This window comes from Homo sapiens, chromosome 6 (genome assembly GCF_000001405.40).
Source record: "Homo sapiens chromosome 6, GRCh38.p14 Primary Assembly".
Lineage (NCBI taxonomy): Eukaryota > Metazoa > Chordata > Mammalia > Primates > Hominidae > Homo > Homo sapiens.
In genome coordinates this window covers 13181095-13204033 of record NC_000006.12, presented here as the reverse complement: position 1 = coordinate 13204033, position 22939 = coordinate 13181095, and the positions used below count along the sequence as shown (strand labels likewise).

Below are 22939 nucleotides of genomic sequence, written 5' to 3'. Positions count from 1 at the left end.
CACTTCTCCTGTGGATTCTACTTATTTGGTGGCCCATGGATTCAGGGTCTCCATGCTCAACAAAGTTGACCAGGTGGCCTTGGCCATTCTCCCAAGAGCTGCTGCAGTCTTCCCCAGCCTCCTCCAGGATCCTCACCTTCCACAGATGCCTCTCCCTATCCCAGTGAGGAACTGAAGAGGAGCACTCACGGCTTCCCCACCTCCCATTTAGTTCCAGCCCACTTTTCTCACCATTACCCAGACCATCCACCCTCACTCCTGAACTGCTGAGTTTCCTAAACTGCCTGATGTTCCCATAACCCTAGGCTTTTGCATGTCACTTTCCCTCAGTTTAGAATATTCTCCTCTGTTTTGTCTTCTTGGTCAATTACTAGTCGCCCTTCAAGATCCACCTCACAAACAATCACCCCTGAAAAGCCTTCCTTGATCATTACATCCCTCTTCCCACTCTGTGGAAAGAGAGTGGGAACGTGGATGCATATTATGTCCGTGTTAATCGTGTTAATGATGATAGCAGGAATGACGACAGTCATGATAATCAAGACTTCTATCATGCTTACTATGTGCCAGATACTGTTCTAAGGGCTCTTTGTATTCTAACCGGTTTAATCCTTACAACAAGTCTGAGGTAGATGCCATTATTATCTCATGTTTACAGATGATGAAACAGGGTCTCTGAAGACACTATGCTGCACTTCCTGTTTACATAACTGTCTCCTCTCCCGGAGAAGAGTGACAGTGTGTAATTTATTATTGTACCTCAAACCTCAGCATCTTGTTCAGTGACCAGCTCACATCACAAGAGATGCAAATCATGTTTACAGAATGAGCCAAAGTTATGATGATCTGCTGTGGGATGAATTCACACCTTCCCCAGAAATAGATACTCTAGGAGGGAGATGTGAGCCTGAAACAGATTACAATTTTAGGATCACGCAGTTGTGGCATATGGACACTAAACTTCTGATCCTACCGCTGAGACACAGAAAATTCTAATCATTTCAGGGGGCCTGATAAGATTGCTCCCCAACACCAGAATGCAAACCAGTCATAACCACAGGCTTCCGCATGTTCATTCCTGAGGGCTTGTCCTGTTCATTGTGACCCCTCATGCACATGGTGCAAGGTCACCACATTCAGGAACTTAACAGGCAGGCTAGCTAGTTCCAAAGTGCTGAGACACGGAAAAACTCAACACCATTGTCCAGCTCATCTTACTGAAGGGTCCACTTACATAGCTCTTAGAAGCTTCAGTGCAGGCGGGCGCGGTGGCCCACGCCTGTAATCCCAGCACTTTTCGAGGCCGAGGCAGGTGGATTACTTGAGGTCAGGAGTTCAAGACCAGCCTGACCAACATGGTGAAACCCCGTCTCTACTAAAAATACAAAATTAGCTGGGTGTGGTGGCAGGTGCCTGTAATCCCAGCTACTTGGGAGGCTGAGGCAGGAGAATCACTTAAACCCAAGAGGTGGACTTTGCAGTGAGCTGAGATTGCACCATTGCACTATAGCCTGGGCGAGTGAAACTCTGTCTCAAAAAAAAAAAAAAAAAAGCTTCAGTGCAAACCTAGCAAATGCAGTATGTCCTGAGGTGTTAAGGATTTTGCTCCAGGACCCTTAACCCATAGTCCTTCATTTGAAGACTCTGATTCTCTAAGGCAAGTAGGTGCTCATTTGCTTGGTCAGGAGAAAGAACCAGGAGGGCAGAGTGGAATTCTCTGCCTAGGAAGGAGCAGTGATTATATTGAGTTCTGCCCATCTTGTTAATCAATAGCTTCTCGTAACATTCCACCACTTCTTGTGACTTCTTCCATAGCAAAACCTACTTGGTTTCATCACTAGAAAATTGGCCAAGTGAGCCCCAGCAATTCTATGGAAACAGGCAAGGAAGAAAAGGCCAGCTGGACCAAGTTAGTGGAGACGGTTGTTCTTACTGTTCCAGGAAAGGCATGCTGGGGCCTTGGGGAACCCCCCTCCTTCTTTCCTGCTGCATCTCCTTTCTGGTCATTGTGATGCACATAGCTATGAATTAAAGGGCAGCGAATAAAAGCAAATCATTTAAAATCATTTTTGGCTCAGTGGATTTCATAAAAATGAACAAAAGTAAGAAAAGGGCTAAAATCAGGTAGAATTACTTGCTTTCTGTGAATTAGCCATGCAGTCTCTATCTTTCCCTAAAATTGTGGATAACTGAGGAGAGGCTGGGCAGCTCATGTCTTTGTTAGAGTGGCAATGCCTATTTGTATATTTTTACAACATCTTAACACCAAGTCATTCCCCATAACATAACTAGAGGCACGATTTGGAACCAGCTGCATATTATCTGTCATTCTGAACTTCCATCTAAGCTTTTAATCTCCCTTTTCCCACTCAGACTTCTGTATTCTCTGGCTTCTTGACCACTACACCAGTCTAGACACTCATCTCCTCTTATCGTGTGGATAATGCGGTCCCAGCCCTCTGATCTGTCCCCACTCTGTACCAGATATCTATCTCCCTACAGCACCTGCTGGGCATGCGTGAGGTCCATGATGGCTCCATGCTCAGTCCATGCTGCAAGTCCAAGTATGACTCTGTCTGGACTCTACTATGAGTCTCCCACTTACATCTCTCTCGTCCACTCTGGCCTCTGGATTTCCCGATAACCACGCTCCTTCTCTCTTCAGGGCCTTTGCTGTACTCACCTCCTGAAATGCCTTCCTGTTCCTTGATAATAAAAATTGCATTTGCCCCTCAAGCGGCAAATGAAGACCCGCTTTCCTCTGGCAGCCTTTCCTCCCTTAACTCCTACAACCCTGGTGGTCAGCAGCGCCAGTGAATTTGGCTCTGTTTTGTGCTGGTTACTGCTGGCTCCATTTGGGTCAGCCCTGTCTTCCCAGCTAGTTCCTGGATGGCTCCTCCTACATGTGCTGCAGCAGGACTCTGAGGCTGGGCAATGATGGAACGTGCTCACTGCCCTGTGGTCCTCAGGACCAGGACTGGGGGTGCATCAGAATCACAATGATGCTCATTCCTCTTCTCAGGGATTCTAGGTTGGGTTCCAGCATTATATTTCTTTCTTTTTTTAATTTTTTTCTTTTTTTTTTTTTTTGAGACAGAGTTTCGCTCTTGTTGCCCAGGCAAGAGTGCAATGGTGTAACCTCAGCTCACTGCAACCTCCCGCTCCCGGGTTGTTCAAGTGATTTTCCTGCCTCAGCCTCCGAGTAGCTGGGACTACAGGTGTCCGCCATGATGCCTGGCTAATTTTTTTTTTTTTCATTTTTAGTAGAGATGGGGTTTCACCATGTTGGCCAGGCTGGTCTCAAACTCCTGACCTCAGGTGATCCACCCACCCCGGCCTCCCAAAGTGGGTGGCCACCCAGTGCTGGCCACCTGGCCCAGCATTGCATTTGTAAAAAGCCACAGTCAAAAATAACTCTTGGCCTCTTACTTTTGTCCTTTTCTCTGAACAAAAGGGCACTATTTCTTAGAGCAGAGTCCTTGGAACACCTGCAATAGTTGCCTGATGCAACTTCATGTTCCTGGGCTTTACTTTGGACCTGCTGAACCAGAATCTTTGGGCCAGACATTTGGATTTAAGATGCTTCCTGGCCGGGTGTGGTGGCACGTGCCTGTAATCCCAGCACTTTGACCCCGTCTCTACTAAAAATACAAAAATTAGCTGGGCGTGGTGGCACGTGCCTGCAATCCCAGCTACTCGGGAGGCTGAGGCAGGAGAATCGCTTGAACCCAGGAGGTGGAGGTTGCAGTGAGCCGAGATTGTGCCACTACACTCCAGTCTGGGTGACAGAGTGAGACTCCATCTCAAAAAAAAAAGATTCTTCCCAAATGCTCAGCATATACAAGGAGCTGAGAATCACTGGCTCAGGGTGCTAAATCGCTTGGTGTATGGTGCTGCCTGAGGCAGGGATACTGCAGCACTCAAGGCCAGGATGCATCAGTTCCATCCAGCATCTGGACCAATGTCCATCCTGGGGGGTCATTGGGATAATTTCCAGATTCTATTTCTATGCTCCCAACATGTAAAAAGTAAAAGAGCAATTTTCCCTAAACCAATTTATTAAAAGCTAATTTGCCTAAAATCTATTCACCTAATGATTATCTTGTCCACATTAGAATGTGCAATTAAAGGATACTTCTTAAACCAATTTGTCTAATGGCACTTCCAATTGAGTTTTATAAAAATCATTTGTCATTGAGCCTTTTGTAAATGATAAGATGTCTTATATCCTTGTGGGTGAATTTTTCTATTTTATTTCTATCTATAGAAATAAAATCTTTTATTCTATTTCTATCTATATCTTGTCTAAACTTTAAGGATGTTTTAGACAAGTTTGCATAAAGAGCCTTTCTTCAAAATTTTGTGTCAAGCAATAAGTACTTCATCAAACAATTAGCTTTTCCTACATAGTTGATTCAAAGCATTCAGGTTCTTCTGCCTTCTTGCTGATTTTTTATTTACCCTATGTGCACTCTGTAAATTTACTAAACAAACCAAGAAATATATATCTAGTACCCATTTCTGTTTAGTGAGGCGATTACATTTTTATAGTGAGGATGACAAAGGGAATTGGGTAGATCAGGCTTCTACTGCATGGCATCCACTTTTCAAGATGCCAATGTTTTTTTTTTTTTTTTTTTTTTTTTTTTTGAGATGGACTCTCACTTTGTCGCCCAGGCTGGAGTGCAGTGGTGTGATCTTGGCTCACTGCAACCTCCACCTCCCAGGTTCAAGCAATTCTGCTTTAGCCTCCCAAGTAGCTGGGATTATAGGTGCACGCCACCAAGCCCAGCTAATTTTTTGTATTTTTAGTAGAGATGGGGTTTCACCATGCTGGCCAAGCTGGTCTCAAACTCCTGACCTCGTGATCCACCTGCCTTGGCCTCCCAAAGTGCTGGGATTACAGGTGTGAGCCACTGCTCCCAGCAGCTAACTTCTTAAAGTAGTGTTTCCATCAGCCTCATTAGGGAAGCTTGGGAGAGGCAGATTCCCGGGCCTCACCTTCAGAGTTCAGATTCAATAAGTCCACAGTGGTGCCCAGGAATCTGCTTTGTAAACAAACTCCCAGATCACTCTGATCTACCTGGATGGAAATGACACCTGGTGCTGCAAGTTCTCATCAGGCAAAGAGGCACAAAATCATTACCAACATTTGTTGGTCTAAAAAGTATAAGATAAACTATAAAATCATGCACTGATTCAGTTCTGTTGGCTTCAGCAAATTGCTTAATCTCTTTGATGTTCAGTTTTCCAATCTGTGAAATAATGTGTTATGGCAAGGTTGTCCAACCGGCGGCCTGCATGCGACCCAGGACAGCTTTGAATGTGGCCCGACACAAAATGGTAAACTTTCTTAAAACATGACGGGATTTATGCACGGATCTTTTTCTTTTCTTTCGTTTTTTTTTTTTCACTCATCAGGTATCATTAGTATTTGTATATTTTATGTGTAGCCCAAGACAATTCTTCTTCTTCCAATGTGGGCCAGGGAAGCCAAAAGGTTGGACACCCCTGTGTTATAGGACAATTGTAAAATTAAATAAAGTACATAAACCGTGTGGCATAGCGTCTGACACTCCAGACACTCCAGACAGTTATTCCACAGAGAGTAACCATAATTCTTGATGCTATCACCATCCTCATTATTAATTGCCTCCTTTAGGAAGCCCATCATCCCGAGGCTGGCTGAGGCGCCTGCCCATGGGACCCCCAAGGCCTCGTGCTTCCCTGTGTCACAGCATTGCCTATTGAGTCAATTCAATCCCTTTCATTTTTCTTAACATGTTGCTGATTTTTCCTTGCAAGGGCTATGTGTGATGTAGTAATTATTAAATTTCACTGAGCGTGGCTATTTCCTCCTGTTTTACCTGCTAGAATGAACTAAGCCTAGTGCATAGTAGATACCCAATAAACGTTTGTTTATCTTTTCATCATGTCTTCAGGGCAACGGGAAAAGGTGGAACTCAGTGACTGGTTTCTGCTGTATTAAAGGTCTGCGAGTCAAAGTGTGGCCAATGGACTAGCAGGAGCCACATGGCCTGGGACCTTATCAGAAAGGCAGATGCTCAGGGCCCACCCCAGACCCTCTGGCAAGATCTCTAGGGGACGCTGATCTATCAAGTCTGAGAAGCACCCCTGAAAGAGGCATTCCTTTCCAAAGAGGCTACTCCCTCCATAGGCAAAATAACAAATGCCCAGAGCCTTGTGGAGGAGGAGATTATCCCAGCACTGCTCTGGGAGGGCTGGGAAGGAGGTGCAGAGGCTTCTGCTGTGGGCCGAGGGCAGAATGTCCTGGTGAAACCACCACTGGCTTAGAACTCAGAAGAATGATTCTAGATCCTTGAGGGATAGCATTAGGAGACATACCTAATGTAAATGACCAGTTAATGGGTGCAGCACACCAACATGGCACATGTATACATATGTAACAAACCTGCACATTGTGCACATGTACCCTAGAACTTAAGGTATAATAATAATAATAAAAAAAAAAGGAACTCAGAAGAGCTGGGGTTTAAGTACAGCTCCAAGACCAAGAAACTTTGTTACTCTTCCTAAGACATTTAGCTTTCCTGAGCCTCAGTTTTCTCATCTGTAGAAAGGGAGTATTGCCCAGAGTATAGATCTGTAATGAGAAGTAAATAGATTAATAACTACACAGCTCCATGCAAGGTGCTGAGGGGACCTTAGGGTTGAAATCTAGCCTGAGGCCTGCCCTGGTGTGGGGCTGATTCACTCTAGAGGAAGGGGCATCCTCTACAGGGCACTTTTTCTAATTTTACAAAGTCTCCATATAGGTCAGCAGAAGGCCTGAGTATAAAGTAGCCCCCGTACAGTCCTTGATGCATCAGAGGAGATCAGCAAATGTAGTCTTGATTCTGAGACAAACATCATAATACATTCCCCACCTCTGCCATAGGTTGTTTGGAGGGTCAGACAGGATCACGTGAACGTGCTTTGTAAATTGCAAAGTACCTTATATAGCTGCAGTGTTGCTAATAGGGCTTTCACCACACTTCTGAAAATCCACCTATCCTGATGCTTTCCAGCCTGGGGTGGGAAGGTAGAAGCCAAAAAAACAACAGAGAGTGTTTAATATGTGGTGGTACTATCATAAGTAAGCAGTGGAAAAGAGCAGAGGTGATTGGAAAGTGAATCAAGTAATAGAGCAGAGAGGCTTGCGAAAGACTTCCATGGCGGTTCTCCATGCTTGCAACAAAACACCACCACAAAATGCTCCAGGAGAGGTTTCTAGGTTTCAGTGTATTGTTCTGATGCACACCGCACTACATCGGTATTGAAAACTAGTGACTGGGGCCGGGTGCAGTGGGTCAAGCCTGTAATCCCAGTACTTTGGGAGGCCAAGGCGGGCGGATCACGAGGTTAGGAGTTCAAGACCAGCCTGACCAACATGGTGAAACCCTGTCTTTAAAAAAAGTACAAAAATTAGCTGGGCGCAGTGGCATGCGCCTGTAGTCCCAGCTACTTGGGAGGCTGAGGCAGGAGAATCGCTTGAACCTGGGAAGCGGAGGTTGCAGTGAGCTGAGATTGTACCACTGCGCTCCACCGTGGGCAACAGAGTGAGACTCTGTCTCAAAAAACAAAAAAAAAAAGAAAGAAAACCAGTGGATGATCTAGGAGTCTGAAAACCTGCGTCCTTTGCTTTTAACTGCCTGAGGAAGACATCTAACCTTCCTGGGATTTTGTCTCTTTACCTCTAAAGATCCTAGAATAAAAATGCCTCCTTTCCCTTGATTCCTGGGATAAAAATGCCTCCTTTCCCTTGACAGCACCTCACTGAATAAATGGTTTTGCATCTATCTGATGCATGATATTTATTAATTGTTGGAGGATACACACTACTTCTTGCCTTTCTAATGATGATGGTGGCTGCTCCTGCTGGGAAACACACAGAGCTCTCTGCTTGCTGACTTATTTCTGCAGCTAGACTGATTGAGATGCAGTGTATTCATAAAACTGTCTCTGTTGATGGAGTGGAAGAAGCAAAAACGACCAGTTCCAGAGAACAAGGAAAATAAACCCAAACCGTGAATGTCACAGAGCCATAAAACCCAAGAGGGCTGTATTTCCAAACCTGACACAGCCCTGGCTGATGACTTCAGACAAGGAAAGAAAAAGCAAAGATGACTTCTAAAGTTGGTCCTTGTGCCGTATGGCTGTAGCCGACACACGGAATAAGTGTGGACTAAATAAATACACCTCTAACCTCTCTTCTTACCACCACAAATGAACTTTTTTTTTTTTTTTTTTTTTTTGAGACGGTGTCTCTCTCTGTCGCCCAGGCTGGAGTACAGTGGCGCGATCTCAGCTCACTGCAATGTCCGCCTTCTGGGTTCAAGCAATTTTCATGCTTCAGCCTCCTGAGTAGCTGGGATTACAGGTGCTCGCCACAACGCCCAGCTAATTTTTGTAGTTTCAGTAGAGATGGGGGTTTCACCATGTTGGCCAGGCTGGTCTCAAACTCCCAACCTCAAGTGATCCCTTCATCTCGGCCTCCTGAAGTGCTGGGATTACAGGCATGAGCCACCGCGCCAGGCCACAAATGAACTTTTTAATCAGCACCTGCTATAGAGGCCCATTTGTAACTGCTGCTGTATCGGCAGTTACTTGTCAATGAGCACAGCACTTAGTGCCCAATGAATAAAGGTGTTGCAAAATTTTCTCAGTCATTTGCCAACTAGTTGCAGTGAGTTGGAATTACTTATCTCCTTTAATTACTTAACCTTAGCTATAGGTACTCCACCTGAAGATGGTGGACTATAATAAAGGGCCTATTGGCAGTATATCTGGAACAGAAATGAGAGTCTAGCATCACTAATCTACTAAATCAGATTCCCCTTGGCTGCAAGAAAGAGGTCAACAGGAGCTCCATCAGTTCCTTCAGAACACGAGGCCCGCCTAGGGATGATCACTCGCCTGGCGTTTTGCCTTGGTCAAAGGCAAAATGTGCTGACTGACCCCTTGTGGTGAGAGGGATGATGTTGAGAGAAACAAGAGTAATGAAAAAAATGTTATTTTTGTGAAATGCCCCAAACCTGGCTTTCCCTTCCAAGCCAGGTCAGCATGTGAAAACCACAGCAGACATCTGGCCTCCGTGAGGACCGTCCTCAGATCTGGAATCATAACCTCAAGGGCCATGATAACATACACAACCCTGGCACCCTCAGCTGACTTAGTTTCAGAGCCGCTTTCTACAAAGAAACATTAAATTTAAAAAAAAATTTTACTAGACAAATAATAATTGTAGATATTCATGGGATGACATTTTGATACATATTTGTAATGTGGGATGATTAAATCAGGCTAATTAACAAATCCATCACCTTACATACTTATCATGTTTTGGCAGTGAAAACATTTAAAATCTTCTGTCTTGGCAATTTTGAAATATACAATCCATTATTAAATGTACCCTGGGAAGATGGCCATGAGTAGGGAAGGACTGGAGAGGAGAGTCACTCTCCAGCTAACTGAGTCACTTAGGCACGTCACCCTTGCAGGGCATGTAATTCAGTTAGTTTTTTTTTTTTTCTTCAATAAAATTACACAGTATTCATTGCCAGAGAACTGCTCTCTTTTCTTTTTCCTTTCTTTCTTTTTTTTTTTTTTTTGAGACGGAGTCTTGCTCTGTCACCAGGCTGGAGTGCAGTGGTGTGATCTTGGCTCACTGCAACCTCCACCTCCTGGGTTCAAGCAATTCTCCTGCCTCAGCCTCCTGAGTAGCTGGGACTACAGGCACGCGCCACCACGCCCAGCTAATTTTTGTATTTTTAGTAAAGACAGGGTTTCACTATGTTGGCCAGGATGGTCTTGATCTCTTGACCTCGTGATCTGCCCACCTTGGCCTCCCAAAGTACTGGGATTACAGGCGTGAGCCATCGCGCCCAGCCCAGGAAACTGCTCTCAAAGAGTCAAAATGGTAGATGTCCTTCTAATCATGGAACAAACACCTGTTGAGAGGATCAGTAAGTATTTTGTGAGAAATTATAAATCACCTATATAAAAACACATCATATTGTTTATGTCTGCAGCCATGGACTGGTGCTGCTGCTCCTAGGGAGACCGGAAGAGAAGAATGCCCTTCAATTGATCACTGTGCTGTTGAACCTGGGCCTTCTGCAGGACAGGCATAAAGGAGGGTGAGAAATGCAGAGATGGAGAGATGAAAGGATCATTCATTCATCCAAGCAGATAGGGAATCAAATCAAAGTCACCACGTCATCAGGGTGAGCATCGACACATTCATCTGCTCTCAAAACATGCAAAACAGGAGATAGACGTATGAAGTTTGAAAGTAAATTGAGATCATATAAAAGAAAATACTGAGCTGGATGTGGCAGATCTCGCCTGTAGTCCCAGTTACTTGGGAGGCTGAGGCAGGAGGACTGTTTGAGCCCAGGAGTTGGAGATCAGTCTGGGCAACATCGAGAGACCTTGTCTCTAAAAAAATTTTAAAAAATTAGCTGGGAGTAGTGGCGCATGCCTATAGTCCCAGCTACTTGGGAGGCTGAGGTGGGATGATCATTTGAGCCCAGGAATTTGAGGATGCAGTGAGCTATGATCATGCCACTGCACTCCAAGTTGGACAACATAGTGAGACCGCATCTCAACATACACTCCCCAAAACTATATATATATATATATATATATATATACACAGAGAGCTATTAAGAGGTAGAATATTCATGGTGACAGTGTAAGTTCAAGCTAGATCCATAAATACTTTAAAGGAAAAACAAGGATGGCTGCAGCTCATCTCTTACCTTGCATCTCTTGGATGCAGGATGATATTTATTCACTGTTGGAGGTCACACTCGTATTTTTTGCATTTACAATGATGTTAATGGCTGGTCTAACTGTCTGTAGTTGGTGTGTGTAAGAGCATGCCTGTTTCCTTCCAAAATTCTTAGTGTACGGCCTGAGAACTACGGCTGGACCATGAGTTTGACCAATATGGATGACTGTCATGTTCTAACTGCTACTCTTTAAAGGGGTTGCTTTTACATCTAGGTTATCATGTTTCCTTCAAACACTACAGAATACAGGGGAATCAGGGTTAATTTATGGCAGAACTTAGAACTGGAGAACATTTTGCTAACTTCCCTAAAATGCAAGTATCCTGCTATGAAGATACAGGCAAAAGATCATCAAACTCCTCCTTCAGCAACAGGGCTTCTCTCCCTCACAAAGCCTCCTGTTCAGCATTAGCTAAGGACTCAGCAGGGAACACATCAGATTAAATCCCTGCCCTCATGAAACTTACCCCTGGGATGTTTAGAAAATATGCAAAAGGAAGGAAGCTTGGTGCCCTTTGCAATTTCATGTTGATGTTGGACATGCCCCAGTTTATTTATACATCCAGTTATAAATCCATCGAACAGCATTACTGTCCATCTTATTCACAGGAACAATTGAGAGACATGCTTGGCTGAAATCAAGCAATTGCTGCTAAAAAGTGCACAAAAGATGCTAACTTCCTTCTACAAAGTTAAATCCTTCCTCGTGACATTCACAGCTCTCCACAGTTTCACCACAATCCACTTTTCAGCCCCAATTTTCCTTACTACACCACAAGAATCCTACATCCCTGCTGATAGGACTATTTGCTATTTCTTGAACATAATAAGCCTTGTACCCACGTGCCTGTGTGTCCTTTGCATCTTGTTTAAGAACAACCTCCTCCTCCAATCCTACCTGTCAAAATCCCACTCATCTTTAAGGCTTGTCTTAAATAACTCCTCCTTAATGATGCTTTTTCTTGATTCCTCCAAAAGGATTTGACTTGTTATACTTGAATTTATTTAGAGCCATGTTTACATCTCCTCCTATTAAACATTTTCTGTAGCTTATCACAGCCTGCAGCTCCTCCCGCTGATGGCCTTAACCATTTTTGTACATTGTATGAGGGCTGGCAGAACACCTTGCACATAGCAGGCATTGAAAACATAAGTGCTGAGTGAATTAAATCTCCAACCTAACAGTGCTACAAAAAAGACAGGTATTTTGCTACGCTCTTTGCCCTGGTTATAGAAATCAGAGCAGAAAGCATCCTTTAAAAACTGTTTTAATCAACAGATAGTCCTTGTATGCACTGCAGAAAAAAAACTTCTGCATTTTGAGAATAGAAACAAGACTGGAAAAACATGGAGAAATGGGTAGAAAAGTGAGTATAAAAAGTAAAATCAGCTAACTCCCCCATTCGTTCTGTGTTGTTTCCATTTTTTATTTTTTGTATGAGTTTTGACATCTTAAAAACCTTTCTGGCTGGGGAGACTGTCCCTCCTGGGGCTGACCAATTCTCAGAGTTAGCAAGGGCCAAGTCAGGAGCAGCCCTTTGATATGGAAACAAGCCAGTCCAGAGCCAGACTTCCTCTATCAGGCCTGTCCACCCCAGGATGCATTATTCCTCTGCCTTAATCATCCCATGGCCAGGTACCAGGCAACTATAGAACATTTGTATAGCTTAGAGCCTGCTGACACCATGCAAACTAGCCAGTCCTAAAGTGCTCTGTCTGCCCTGCTTTGCCTTTCTGCAGAAACCCCAATAAACACTCTGGCCTCGGCTTTCCCCTCTCCTTGCTTTCTGCCTCCTGACCACCCTGAGGCTTCCCCATGTGCCCTGTGTGGTGAGCCGTGCCTCCTGTCTCTAGGGCCCGTGAGTATAATAAACCTTATGGCTGCACTTGACCGACCATCTCACAAAGAACACAGAACACCTTCAAATTATCAGTTACCAAGAGAGACTTCTATGCAAACATTCATTTTTTTTCCATTTAAAGGCATAGATAAAGTCCAAGCTCACAGTGGTCTAATCTTTGGTTTTATTGCACTGGGATTACTGGGAGGGAAGGCAGGGACAGAGGCAGAAGTAGCCAGGTGGTTCTGGAGGGTTGGAGAGGAGGACATGGAGGGTTGGGAATGTGGGGATCAATGGGGGAGAGAGAGCATCAGAGAAAAACAGAGACACATAATGAAATTACGCAGCAGCATGTGACTGTAGAACAGTGAAAAAGTCCACAAAACTAGAGAGATAGCTATAACCAGGAATATTGGTCAAGCATGGAGAGAGGATTCTTGTTACACAGGTACACATGCTGGGGCTGAAAATAACACAGGTCATGGACACCATTTGTCAGGCAAAGTTGTAGTAGCGAATACTTTGGTAACATTGAAATGAGCAATCAACTAAGTTCTGAGAATATATTAAGTTTCCTTGTATTTTGAATTCTAACCACTGTGCAAATAAGTCCTGGGTAGGTGTGTATTATCAGTAGGACTTGTTTTCAAGGATAAGCCTCAGTTTCCTTTCTTTGCTGAAGTGTCAGTAATCTCTAACTGTGGTCAGATGCTTCCCATGTGGTTTACCCCTGCTCCTGACTCTTACACAAACTGTCTCCTTTGGGTCTGTTCTTTGAAACCCGACCCAACTGAACTCAGATCCTCCTCTTTATAACCAAGTGCCTTGAGTATATGACTAATTTTTGAAGAACTAGATAATTTTTGTCCTTGAGTCATGCTGTGGACTGAATTGTGTCCCCCCACCTCCTAAATTCATCTGTTGAAACTCTCACCCCCAATGTGACTGTATTTGGAGTAAGGAAGTAATCAAGGTCAAATGAGGCAATGAAGATGGAACCCTAATATGATAAGATTAATGTCCTTATAAGAAGAGACATCAAGCCGGGCTTGGTGGCTCACGCCTGTAATCCCAGCATTTTGGGAGGCTGAGGCGGGCAGATCACTTCAGGCCAGGAGTTCGAGACCAGCCTGGCCAATATGGTGAAACCCCACCTCTACTAAAAAAAAAAAAAAAATACAAAAATTAGCTGAGCATAGTGGCACAAGCCTGTAATTCCAGCTACTCGGGAGGCTGAGGCAGGAGAATCACTTGAACCCAGGAGGTGGAGGTTGCAGGGAGCCAAGATCATGCCACTGCACTCTAGCCTGGGCGACGGAGTAGAAACTGTTTTAAAAAAAAAAAAAAAAAAAGCAGAAGAGATATCAGAGATCTCTTTCTCTCTCCCTGTTATGTGAGAACATAGAGAGAAGGGAGCTGTCTACAAGCCAGCAAAAGATATGTCACTAGAAACCGAACCCTACGGACCTTGATCTTGGACTTTCCAGCCTCCAGAACTAAGAGAAATACATTTCTGTTGTGTAAACTACCCAATCTACATTCTTTAGTTGCGGCAGCCCAAGCAGAATAACACAACTTTTAAAAACAAAGGGGCCGATTTTCAAACTTCTTAAGCAGATGAAAACATACAATGCTAAAACACAAAGAAAGCTGATTTTTTTAAAGATTTGGGAATAGGCCGGGCAAGGTGGCTCATTCCTGTAATCCCAGCACTTTGGGAGGCAGAGATGGGTGGATCACTTGAGCTCAGGAGGTCCAGACCAGCCTGGGCAACTTTGTGAAATTCCTTCTCTACAAAAAAATACAAAAGTTAGCCAGGCGTGGTGGCATGTGCCTGTAGTTCCAGCTACTCAGGAGGCTGAGATAGGAGGATCACTTGTGCCTGGGAGGTGGAGGCTGCAGTGAGCCGTGATTGTGCTACTGCACTCTAGCCTGGAAGATACAGTGAGATCCTGTCTCAAAAAAAGAAAAAAAAAAGGGGGGGTGGGAATTTTGGTGGAGATACTATAAACAAATGGTTATAAATGAGGATTCTGGAGTCAAAAAAAATAGGTTCATGCTTATCTGCCACTTACTAGCTAAGTAACTACGACCAAGTCCTTTAATTTCTCCAAATTTCATGCTCATCTGTGAAAAGAGGTAATAATGATAACAATATCAAAGAGTATGTGGTAAAGTTCTCAAAAAAGGCTGACATTATTATTACCCAAATGTGAACATCTGACTGTGAAGTCCAGCTAAATTGATTTATCCTTCATTCAACTGGCATGCCGGGGGCACCTGCCACAGGTACCTTATGCAGAAGGCATAGGTTATTCATGCAGCGTTGAACATCTGACTTCTGGAGCCAGAATGCCACAGAGAAGTGACTGATGATGACTTAGAGAGGCAGGAGACAGTGGCTTTTGCCTTCATCACCCTTTTGGGGTCACCCATCACTCCAAGGATTCCAAGAAGGATGCATTTCACTTCAGATCACATTCATTACACAACAAGCTCTGTCGGACACTGTACTTCTGGAAACAAAGGAAACTGATGCCAACAACTCCTGGCCCTGTATCGCATGCTGTTGCATGGTTGATGTTGGAGGAGGTGAGATGGAAGGAGATTTTAACAAGAAATGAAGCAAGACAGACAGGGAGAATGAGAGAACTTCTCCCCACCTGGCTGATGAACAGAAGAAATTTGTAAGACAAATACTCTCCAAATTAATTACATTTTCCTGATAAAGTGGAAGCAAACGCCACGGTAGAGGTATTTCTGCATGACTTTCCCTGACTGTGAATTTGGTAGTAGTTCCAGTTCAGCCTCACATTTCCTCCAGCATTCTACCAGACCATTAGCCACTGTCACTCCCCATTAATCACGCTTGGTGTCTTTCAATTGTCCTGTGTTTCCTTTCAAACATGTCACCAGAGCAGCAGACACTGAGAACAGGCTAAAACTCATGAGTCTCAATTTAGAGTTCTAGAATTCTTAGTTTATTAATTCCTTCTGACATGGCCCAGATGTCTTCAGAGCAATTAGTAACAGAACAGGGTTAATGTAGCTACCTCATGGTGATGCAGATTCATTATAACTGATTGCTCACTTATAAAAATTAAGCAAGTCTAATTGAGTTTAAGCCCAAAAGGATAGCACTAGATTTGCAGTCCACGGACTTCTCCACCTGTCTTACTTTATCATGTTTAAGAGGTTACCAGGTACTACATAGTAAGGATATTAGCTTTTTGTGTATTTTTATTCATTTGATCCAAGCTGTATAGAGGTGAGGCATATAGATAACAGAGTCTACTCTCTCAGGAAAGGACCAGGGAAGCCAGAGAGATGGGGCCAATTGAGATATCTTCGGTCTCTCATATGTAAAGAACCCTGTGGATACCAGGCCACCTGAGCTCCTGGGCTCATAGATGAAACTTAAGTTTGTCTCCATTAATGAGATAACTAGATAAATCAGAGGTGTCGTCAGTTAAGAAATTCTGCTGACTCTTCTTTTTACAATGTCATATCTACTGGTTTGCTCTCTCTCTTCTCACTGATATCAGTCAGATGCTTGTTAGCTCATATTTCAATGACTGGAGAAGCCTCTTCAATGGTATCCGTGGCTCAGGGTATCCCTGGCTCAATGGTATCCCATGGCTGAGTCCATTTAGCTGATCTGACTTTGGAGTGCATGGCCTAGAGCTAGCCTTGGTGGTGGCTTCTCTGATAGGCCTTCAACCTGCTCCTCTTTCTGCTCCTTCTACATGGTGATCCAAGATCTCTTAAAGGCTAGTTTTCATCATATCACTCCTCTGCTTAAAAACCTCCAAAGTTTTTTCACTGCCTAGGGATTAAAATCTAAATCTTTTTATGCCTTTTTCTAGTGAGTCCTGTCTCTCAGTATACTTCAGAATGAAGCTTCCACCCCTACTCAGCCAACTCTTCAATGACCCAAAATGTTGCCACCTCTGAGGTTTTGTCTAGGGTCTTCTTTCCTGGAATACTCTTCCCTCATTTTCTATAAATGTCCTTCATGCTTGAAAAGTCAGTTCAAGCTTCAGCCTTCTCTTTATCAGACTGCATTGAATTGCAAGTGTTACTGCTAACAGTAGTTGTGTTAGTACTCTCTCTCTACGTATATATATGCATTCATCAAACCAGGGGTCCCCAACCACCAGGGCCATGAACCTGTACTGGTCCGCGGCCTATTAGGAACCGGGCTGCACAGCAGGAGGTGAGTGGCGGGTGAGTGAGCAAAGCTTCATTTGTATTTACAGCCACTCCCCATTGCTCACCATTACCTCCTGAGCTCCACCTCCTGTCAAATCAACAGCAGCATTAGATGAGCGCGAACCCTATTGTGAACTGCGCATGTGAGGAATCCAGGCTGCATGTTCCTTATGAAAATCCACTGCCTGACGATCGGTCACTGTCTCCCACCACCCTTAGATGGACTGTCTAGTTGCAGGAAAACAAGCTCAGGGCTCCCACAGATTCTACATTATGGTGAGCTGTATAATGATTTAATTATGTATTACAATGTAATAATAATAGAAATAAAGTGCACAACAAATGTAATGCACTTGAATCATCCCGAAATAATCTCTCCCGCCCCACCTCCGGTCTGTGGAAAAATGGTCTTCCACAAAACTGGTCCTTCGTGCCAGAAAGGTTGAGGACAGCTGCATTAAACTGTTACATATTCCTATCTACTTTGATACTTAGTACAGTATTCTGCCTATTGTAGATGTGTTGAATAAATATGTACTACATGTAGGGGTTTATTTTGTACAATGTTTAATCTTTCTTAAGGGAAATTTGACATCAAAGCCTTAAAGGGTGCATAATCTTTGACTCAACAGTTCTAATTTTAGAAATAAATTAGAGAAAACTCAGAAGTGCTTATGAAGATATATGCAGGCTGTTGCAGTTGTTTGCTGTTGCGATTTAGCAATAAGGAAGATGGAAAAACTTTAAGGGGTCAGTCAAGTAAACCCTGATCCATCCAAGCAGCTAATAAAATCACGTTGTGGAATTGTTACTAACACGAAAATCAGTTTACAATATATCACCAAGTGCAAAAAGCAGGTGACAAAACAATACGTACAGCAACATTCAATTTTTATTCAATAGACAGACAGATGGACAGTGGATATTGCCTAGAAGGAGGCTTATGGGACCTTTTCTCCTTTGTAGTTTTCTGTGAATTTCAATTTTTGGACATCGAACAAAAGTGTTATTGATATGTTAGATGGTTCCGTTTGATGGAAATTTGCTCTTTCAAGCCATACACATCTGACTTGGATGGACATACACATTAATAGATTAGTTTGACATGAGCCCATGTCTAAGATGGACTCTTATAGAACTCAGTATCACGTGAAAGACAGCCTGCTCTGGAAACAACATTAGCTGAACTCGGAGTTGAGAAATATAGCATCGATTGTGCCTCTATTACAGAATTCCTGTCAGCCCTGGAAGTCACTTATTTTTCTTGAACCTCAGTGTTTCTCCTATAAGATAGGTGAATATTTTTCCCTAATTCCACCCCCATTACATGTTACAAAATGTTACAATGATTACCTAGGTATTATTTGTCAAAATACCGAGTGCTTTTTAAAAAGGCAGTCGATCAGCATCAGGTGAAACTATTATCAAAGTTGGAGAAATGACCCTCTGAAATATTTTAATCTCTGATTATACCACAGCCTTCAATCACAAAGTGGTATCTAATTCATGTGCCAAAGTGCAGTGAAGTACAATTTCACTGAGTGCTCAATTTAATGCCTGTGGCTACATTCATTAAGTAACACTTCAGAAACACTGCAAAGGACGTGTGCAATCATTTTAGAACAACATTGCTAAGCTTACTCTTCTTTTAAAAGTATTTACCACATAATTTGCAGATTGTCTTTTTTTTTTTTTTTTCCCTAAGAGAACAGACAGCACTGACATGAATTTTAATAGGTGAAATACACTGGGCTTCAGATCAATAACTTAAAGACAAAAAATTTAAAACCTTGACATACTCATATGGAGAAGGCACTATTCTTTATCTTTGCAAAAATGTTGACATTGAATCGATTTCACCTAGATGAGCAAATAATCTTGAATTAGTCACTTAAATACAATGTACACATTTACAGATACACATGACTGAAAGCTCTTGGCATATGGCTGGTAGGTGGATATCAAATGCTGCTTGACACAAAAACACAAACCCTGGTCATGACTGCAGATATCAAGACACACACAGAAACACCCAAACATCCCACAGGGCAACCTCCCCAGAGAGCTGCCTTCAGGCCTCAGTTCAAAGAACAAGAGAAAAAGAAAATCCCTTGAAGGGAAGGAGGGACTGCTTGCCCCAGAAGACGTCTGCACTCACCTGTTAAGTGGTTGGCAATCCTGGTAGTGGGTTTGGGAGGCAGGGCCGGGGGCTGCTTGAGAAGGGGCAGCTGCTTCACTGGGGTCTCTTCATGGTCTCCAGGGAAAGCAGCAGGTTTTTTGGGGGGCAGTAGCAGGACTGGTTTGGCTGAAGGATCTTGGGACAGGAGGACTCCAGACTCACTGGCAGAGGGACTCTCTTCAGACACTGAGGGGACAACCACATGATACACAGGAGACATTACACAAACGCAGTGCAGGCGGGGCCAGCGGGGAACACAGGACAGGGACTCGGGCTGGCAACACAGCGGAGCACCGATGCTTCAGGCCGCCACGCATGTGTAGAGAGCTACAGCGAGGAGGCCAGAAATCCAGTGAAGCAGGAGGACAGAGAGAGGAGGCAGAGGAAGAGAGAGAGTGGAGGCGGGAAGAGCAACAGGGAGAAAGAGGAGGAGGATGTTTTCTCAAAACCATCAAACACTTGACCATTTCAAACTCAGCTTTGGTCATGCAAACCCTACACATGCTCTAAGATGGGACTCATGGGGCACAGCAGGAATCACCAGGGTGGCCAGTGCAGAAGGCCCAGGATGCAGAGCCCCTCTAAACCAAACCAGAACTGAATGCCAGCAGCCTCGCTGGGGCCTGCTTGCCCTTTGCTGAGGGGCAAGAGGGAGTGGATTCAAACAAGTGGAGGGGCTCAGTTTTGTCCACTGGGTCCGCTCTGTCTCTGCTCTCAAATCTGCGACACTGGGTACAGATGACAGCCTGGAACGCTGACACCTCATAGGCTGCACCCCAGGCACTGGACGGCTGCTCCTCCAGGTTCTGGAGTGCCCGGCGCTGAGCAGCAGCCTCTCAGCCCAAATTCTGTAGTTTTAGCAACAGCATCCTGCCCCCACCAGCTCCTGTAAACTTTGACGAGGCAAGGGATGCTTTAAATCAACCTTTTCATCTTCCCCTTTCCTCTCTCTTCTTGCTCACCACAACTATAGTTTTCTTTTATCAATTCCTCCATTTCTCTTTGCACTGCATTGGACGCGCCTCTTCCTTTCTTTCATGGGGGAACCCCTGACTGGCTTTCATGAAGAGTTGTCATTGGGTGGTGGCACACACCTTCCTATCATGCCGGTAGCTTGGCTGATGACAGATTGAAACTCTGTGATTCTGCTGGAATGACAGATTTTTACTATAACAGTCAAATCTATCTGACTTCAGTGTCACAAGGAAGTCTGGATTCTTTTTAAAAAAGCACTGCTTTCATTGGGAAACCCTCCCTGGGGTGGGAGGGTGTAACTCCACTGCATCTCCTCTCACCTCCCGCCACCGCCTCAGTGAGAAAGCCTGTAAGGGACTCCTCCCCTCCCCACCCTCCTTCCTCCTCCCTGATCAGGTGTTCTGTGCAGCACCAAAGCCCTGCTGAAAATCCTCATGAGCACTACATTCTCCTGCCTCAGGGACACTATTATTGTCAATGTGGCACACAGTGATGGAGCAATGACTCACCGGGTCCCATAACGAAGCATGGGAATTAACCCTGTGAAACCTCATCCCTCCCACCCTCCCACGTGACTGCCTATGGATGTGGATTTTGCACATGATGGGGAGAGAGGCCTTTCTATCTATACTCTGGATATTGCAAGAGGTTCCTTCTCCCAGACTCATCTCCTGACAAGTACCACTGCTCATTAGCTGTCAGGAGGGACCTATTTTGGGGCAAATTAGGACCGCTCTGCAAACCTTCTGAGAGGATGAGTATTGGCCACTCAGCCACCTTTGGACCAAAGAAGGAGATGACAGTCAGATGGCATCAAAAATCAGCTATCAGCAGGATACAATTCAATCAGTAAATTATATACAGTTTAATAGACAATTAAATTAATTGACTATATCCAGTAAATTGATACAAGTATTAACTGGCATACTGGGACTAAGACTAAAGGACCTTTCAGACAGACGAATTAGATAGGTATCATATAGAAATGTAGGATTCCTCAGCTTTATCTTAACAGAGATGAATGTTAAAAAACAAAATAATAATATTTTAAATCATTAATGTTACAAAAATAAGCCATATCATCTTTAAAGAGATTAAGGTAGTAAAGAGTTTTTTAAACACTGTAGGATAATAAGTGTAAGTATATTCCATTTTTAAAAATACTCAGTATGTACTAAAAACTAATCTGTTTCACTAAATTTCCAGATCCTTACGCTCAGGATAGTCCAAAATAGAATTCCAAGTCCAGCCAGGCCAAAGATCCCTGGTGCCTGGCTGGACTTGGTGTCTGGGACCTGCTCTACAATCCTGCCGGGGCATTACCTGGCCCATCCATGATGTCTGACGGTTGGAGCACCTCATATGAGCAGGGATCCCTGGGCATTGGGACTGGCTCCATTTCGGACAGGGCAGGCAGAGACAGCTGGCTGGAGCTCAGGGACTGCCCATTTTCTAGGGAGTCCTCTTCATTGGATATAGAGAGTTCCCCATCTGTCAGAGAGAAAAGGAGATTGCAGAGTTAGACAATGTCTGCCTTTCAAGAAAGAGTGGCACTTCCCGCCTGCTGAGTCTAGATGCTGCTGAACAATCAAGGTCAGCCTCTGAAACCAACATCTGTTATTTTGCTTTTAAGACATTTATTTCATCGTTAGAGATATGTTGTCTAATCATCAGGGCAAAAATTTCCAATGATCTTCAGCATTTTGCCTGTTTTCTCTGTGTCTTTCTAACCCGAATCCATCACGTTTTCTATGTATTATTATTATTACTTTTTTTGAGACAGAGTTTCACTCTTGTTGCCCAGGCTGGAGTGCAATGGCATGATCTTGGCTCACCACAACATCCGCCTCCCGGGTTCAAGCGATTCTCCTGCCTCAGCCTCCTGAGTAGCTGGGATTACAGGCACGTGCCACCACACCCGGCTAATTTTGTATTTTTATTAGAGATGGAGTTTCTCCATGTTGGTCAGGCTGGTCTCAAACTCCCAACCTCAGGTGATCCGCCCACCTGGGCCTCCCAAAGTGCTGGGATTACAGGCATAAGCCACCGCGCCCGGCCATTTTCTATGTATTTTTAAAAATAAAAAGTAAATTAAAATTATTTTTTTCTCATAATTTCTAAAAACTTGGGAAAAAACTCAGCAAGCCTCAGAGATTGGAAGACCAGGATTGGGAATTCCTACTTTAGGGAGCAAAGGGCTTCATGTCATTCAACACGCACCAAGGTCCTGTCTTCTGTTTGCCTCCACCCTGGTCCAATTTCTCTACTTGGATAAACTATTAGGACAGCTCTCATCTGCACCTAACAGGCTGCAGCCACTCAGCGATGCTGGGAAGTGCCAGAATTCTCCCGGTGCCGACCACCAATCACGCCACGTAGTGCAGACTTTGATGTTGCTTAAAGCTCAGCAAAACAAGGACCACGGTGCAGGATCAAAGGCTCCCATACAATGGCCATTTGTCAAATCACAATTCCCCCTGTGTGATTTCATCCTAGCCCAGGGGAGTCTTAGATAACTAGACATTAAAGTCAAATTAATTTTTAAAGAGGACTGAAAGCTGTTCCAGCGAGATGAATAAACACCAGATGAAAGACTAAGTTCTGCCGAGTCAGAAACAGAAACCAGCAGAGCAATTATCCGACTTAAAACCAGAAGCAAGATGACAACTCGTAGAAAAGAAACAGTTAAGTGACTCCAAGGTGATTCTTGGGTAAATAATCCTTTCCTTTTTGCTATGTTCCACCTCTAGTTTAATTTTATAAATCACTGATCTATGGTGGCACAGAATCCCTCCTTGGCCCACCCCCGCCCGATTAGAGTCCGTCCAGTGAATATCTGTTTAACAGAATAATCAACAAACCAACAGGCCTGAAACAGCATATGATTCAAGGGCATATGGTGTTTGACCTGAATC

General features: G+C 44.0%; 1 protein-coding gene across 20 annotated transcripts in view, besides 1 other annotated feature; it reads right to left on the bottom strand.

Moving 5' to 3' along the window:
• Positions 1-22939, bottom strand: part of PHACTR1 (phosphatase and actin regulator 1) — a 571071-nt gene that overhangs the window by 83804 nt on the left and 464328 nt on the right. For 11 of the 20 annotated variants that reach the window (NM_030948.6, NM_001242648.4, NM_001374581.2 and 8 more), the window contains one exon: positions 21348-21515. In NM_030948.6, coding sequence (NP_112210.1) covers positions 21348-21515 — 168 coding nt within the window. Of the gene's footprint in view, positions 1-19028; positions 19236-21347; positions 21516-22939 lie in introns of all 20 variants that reach the window. The other 9 variants (XM_005248934.4, XM_047418373.1, XM_047418372.1 and 6 more) reach the window with 1 other exon arrangement.
• Positions 8875-8964: a silencer, noted in NCBI's record as "silent region_16924". NCBI's record gives its function as "represses an Ori minimal core promoter by ATAC-STARR-seq in GM12878 lymphoblastoid cells {active_cell/tissue: GM12878}" and the evidence as "EXISTENCE:reporter gene assay evidence [ECO:0000049][PMID:35858748]".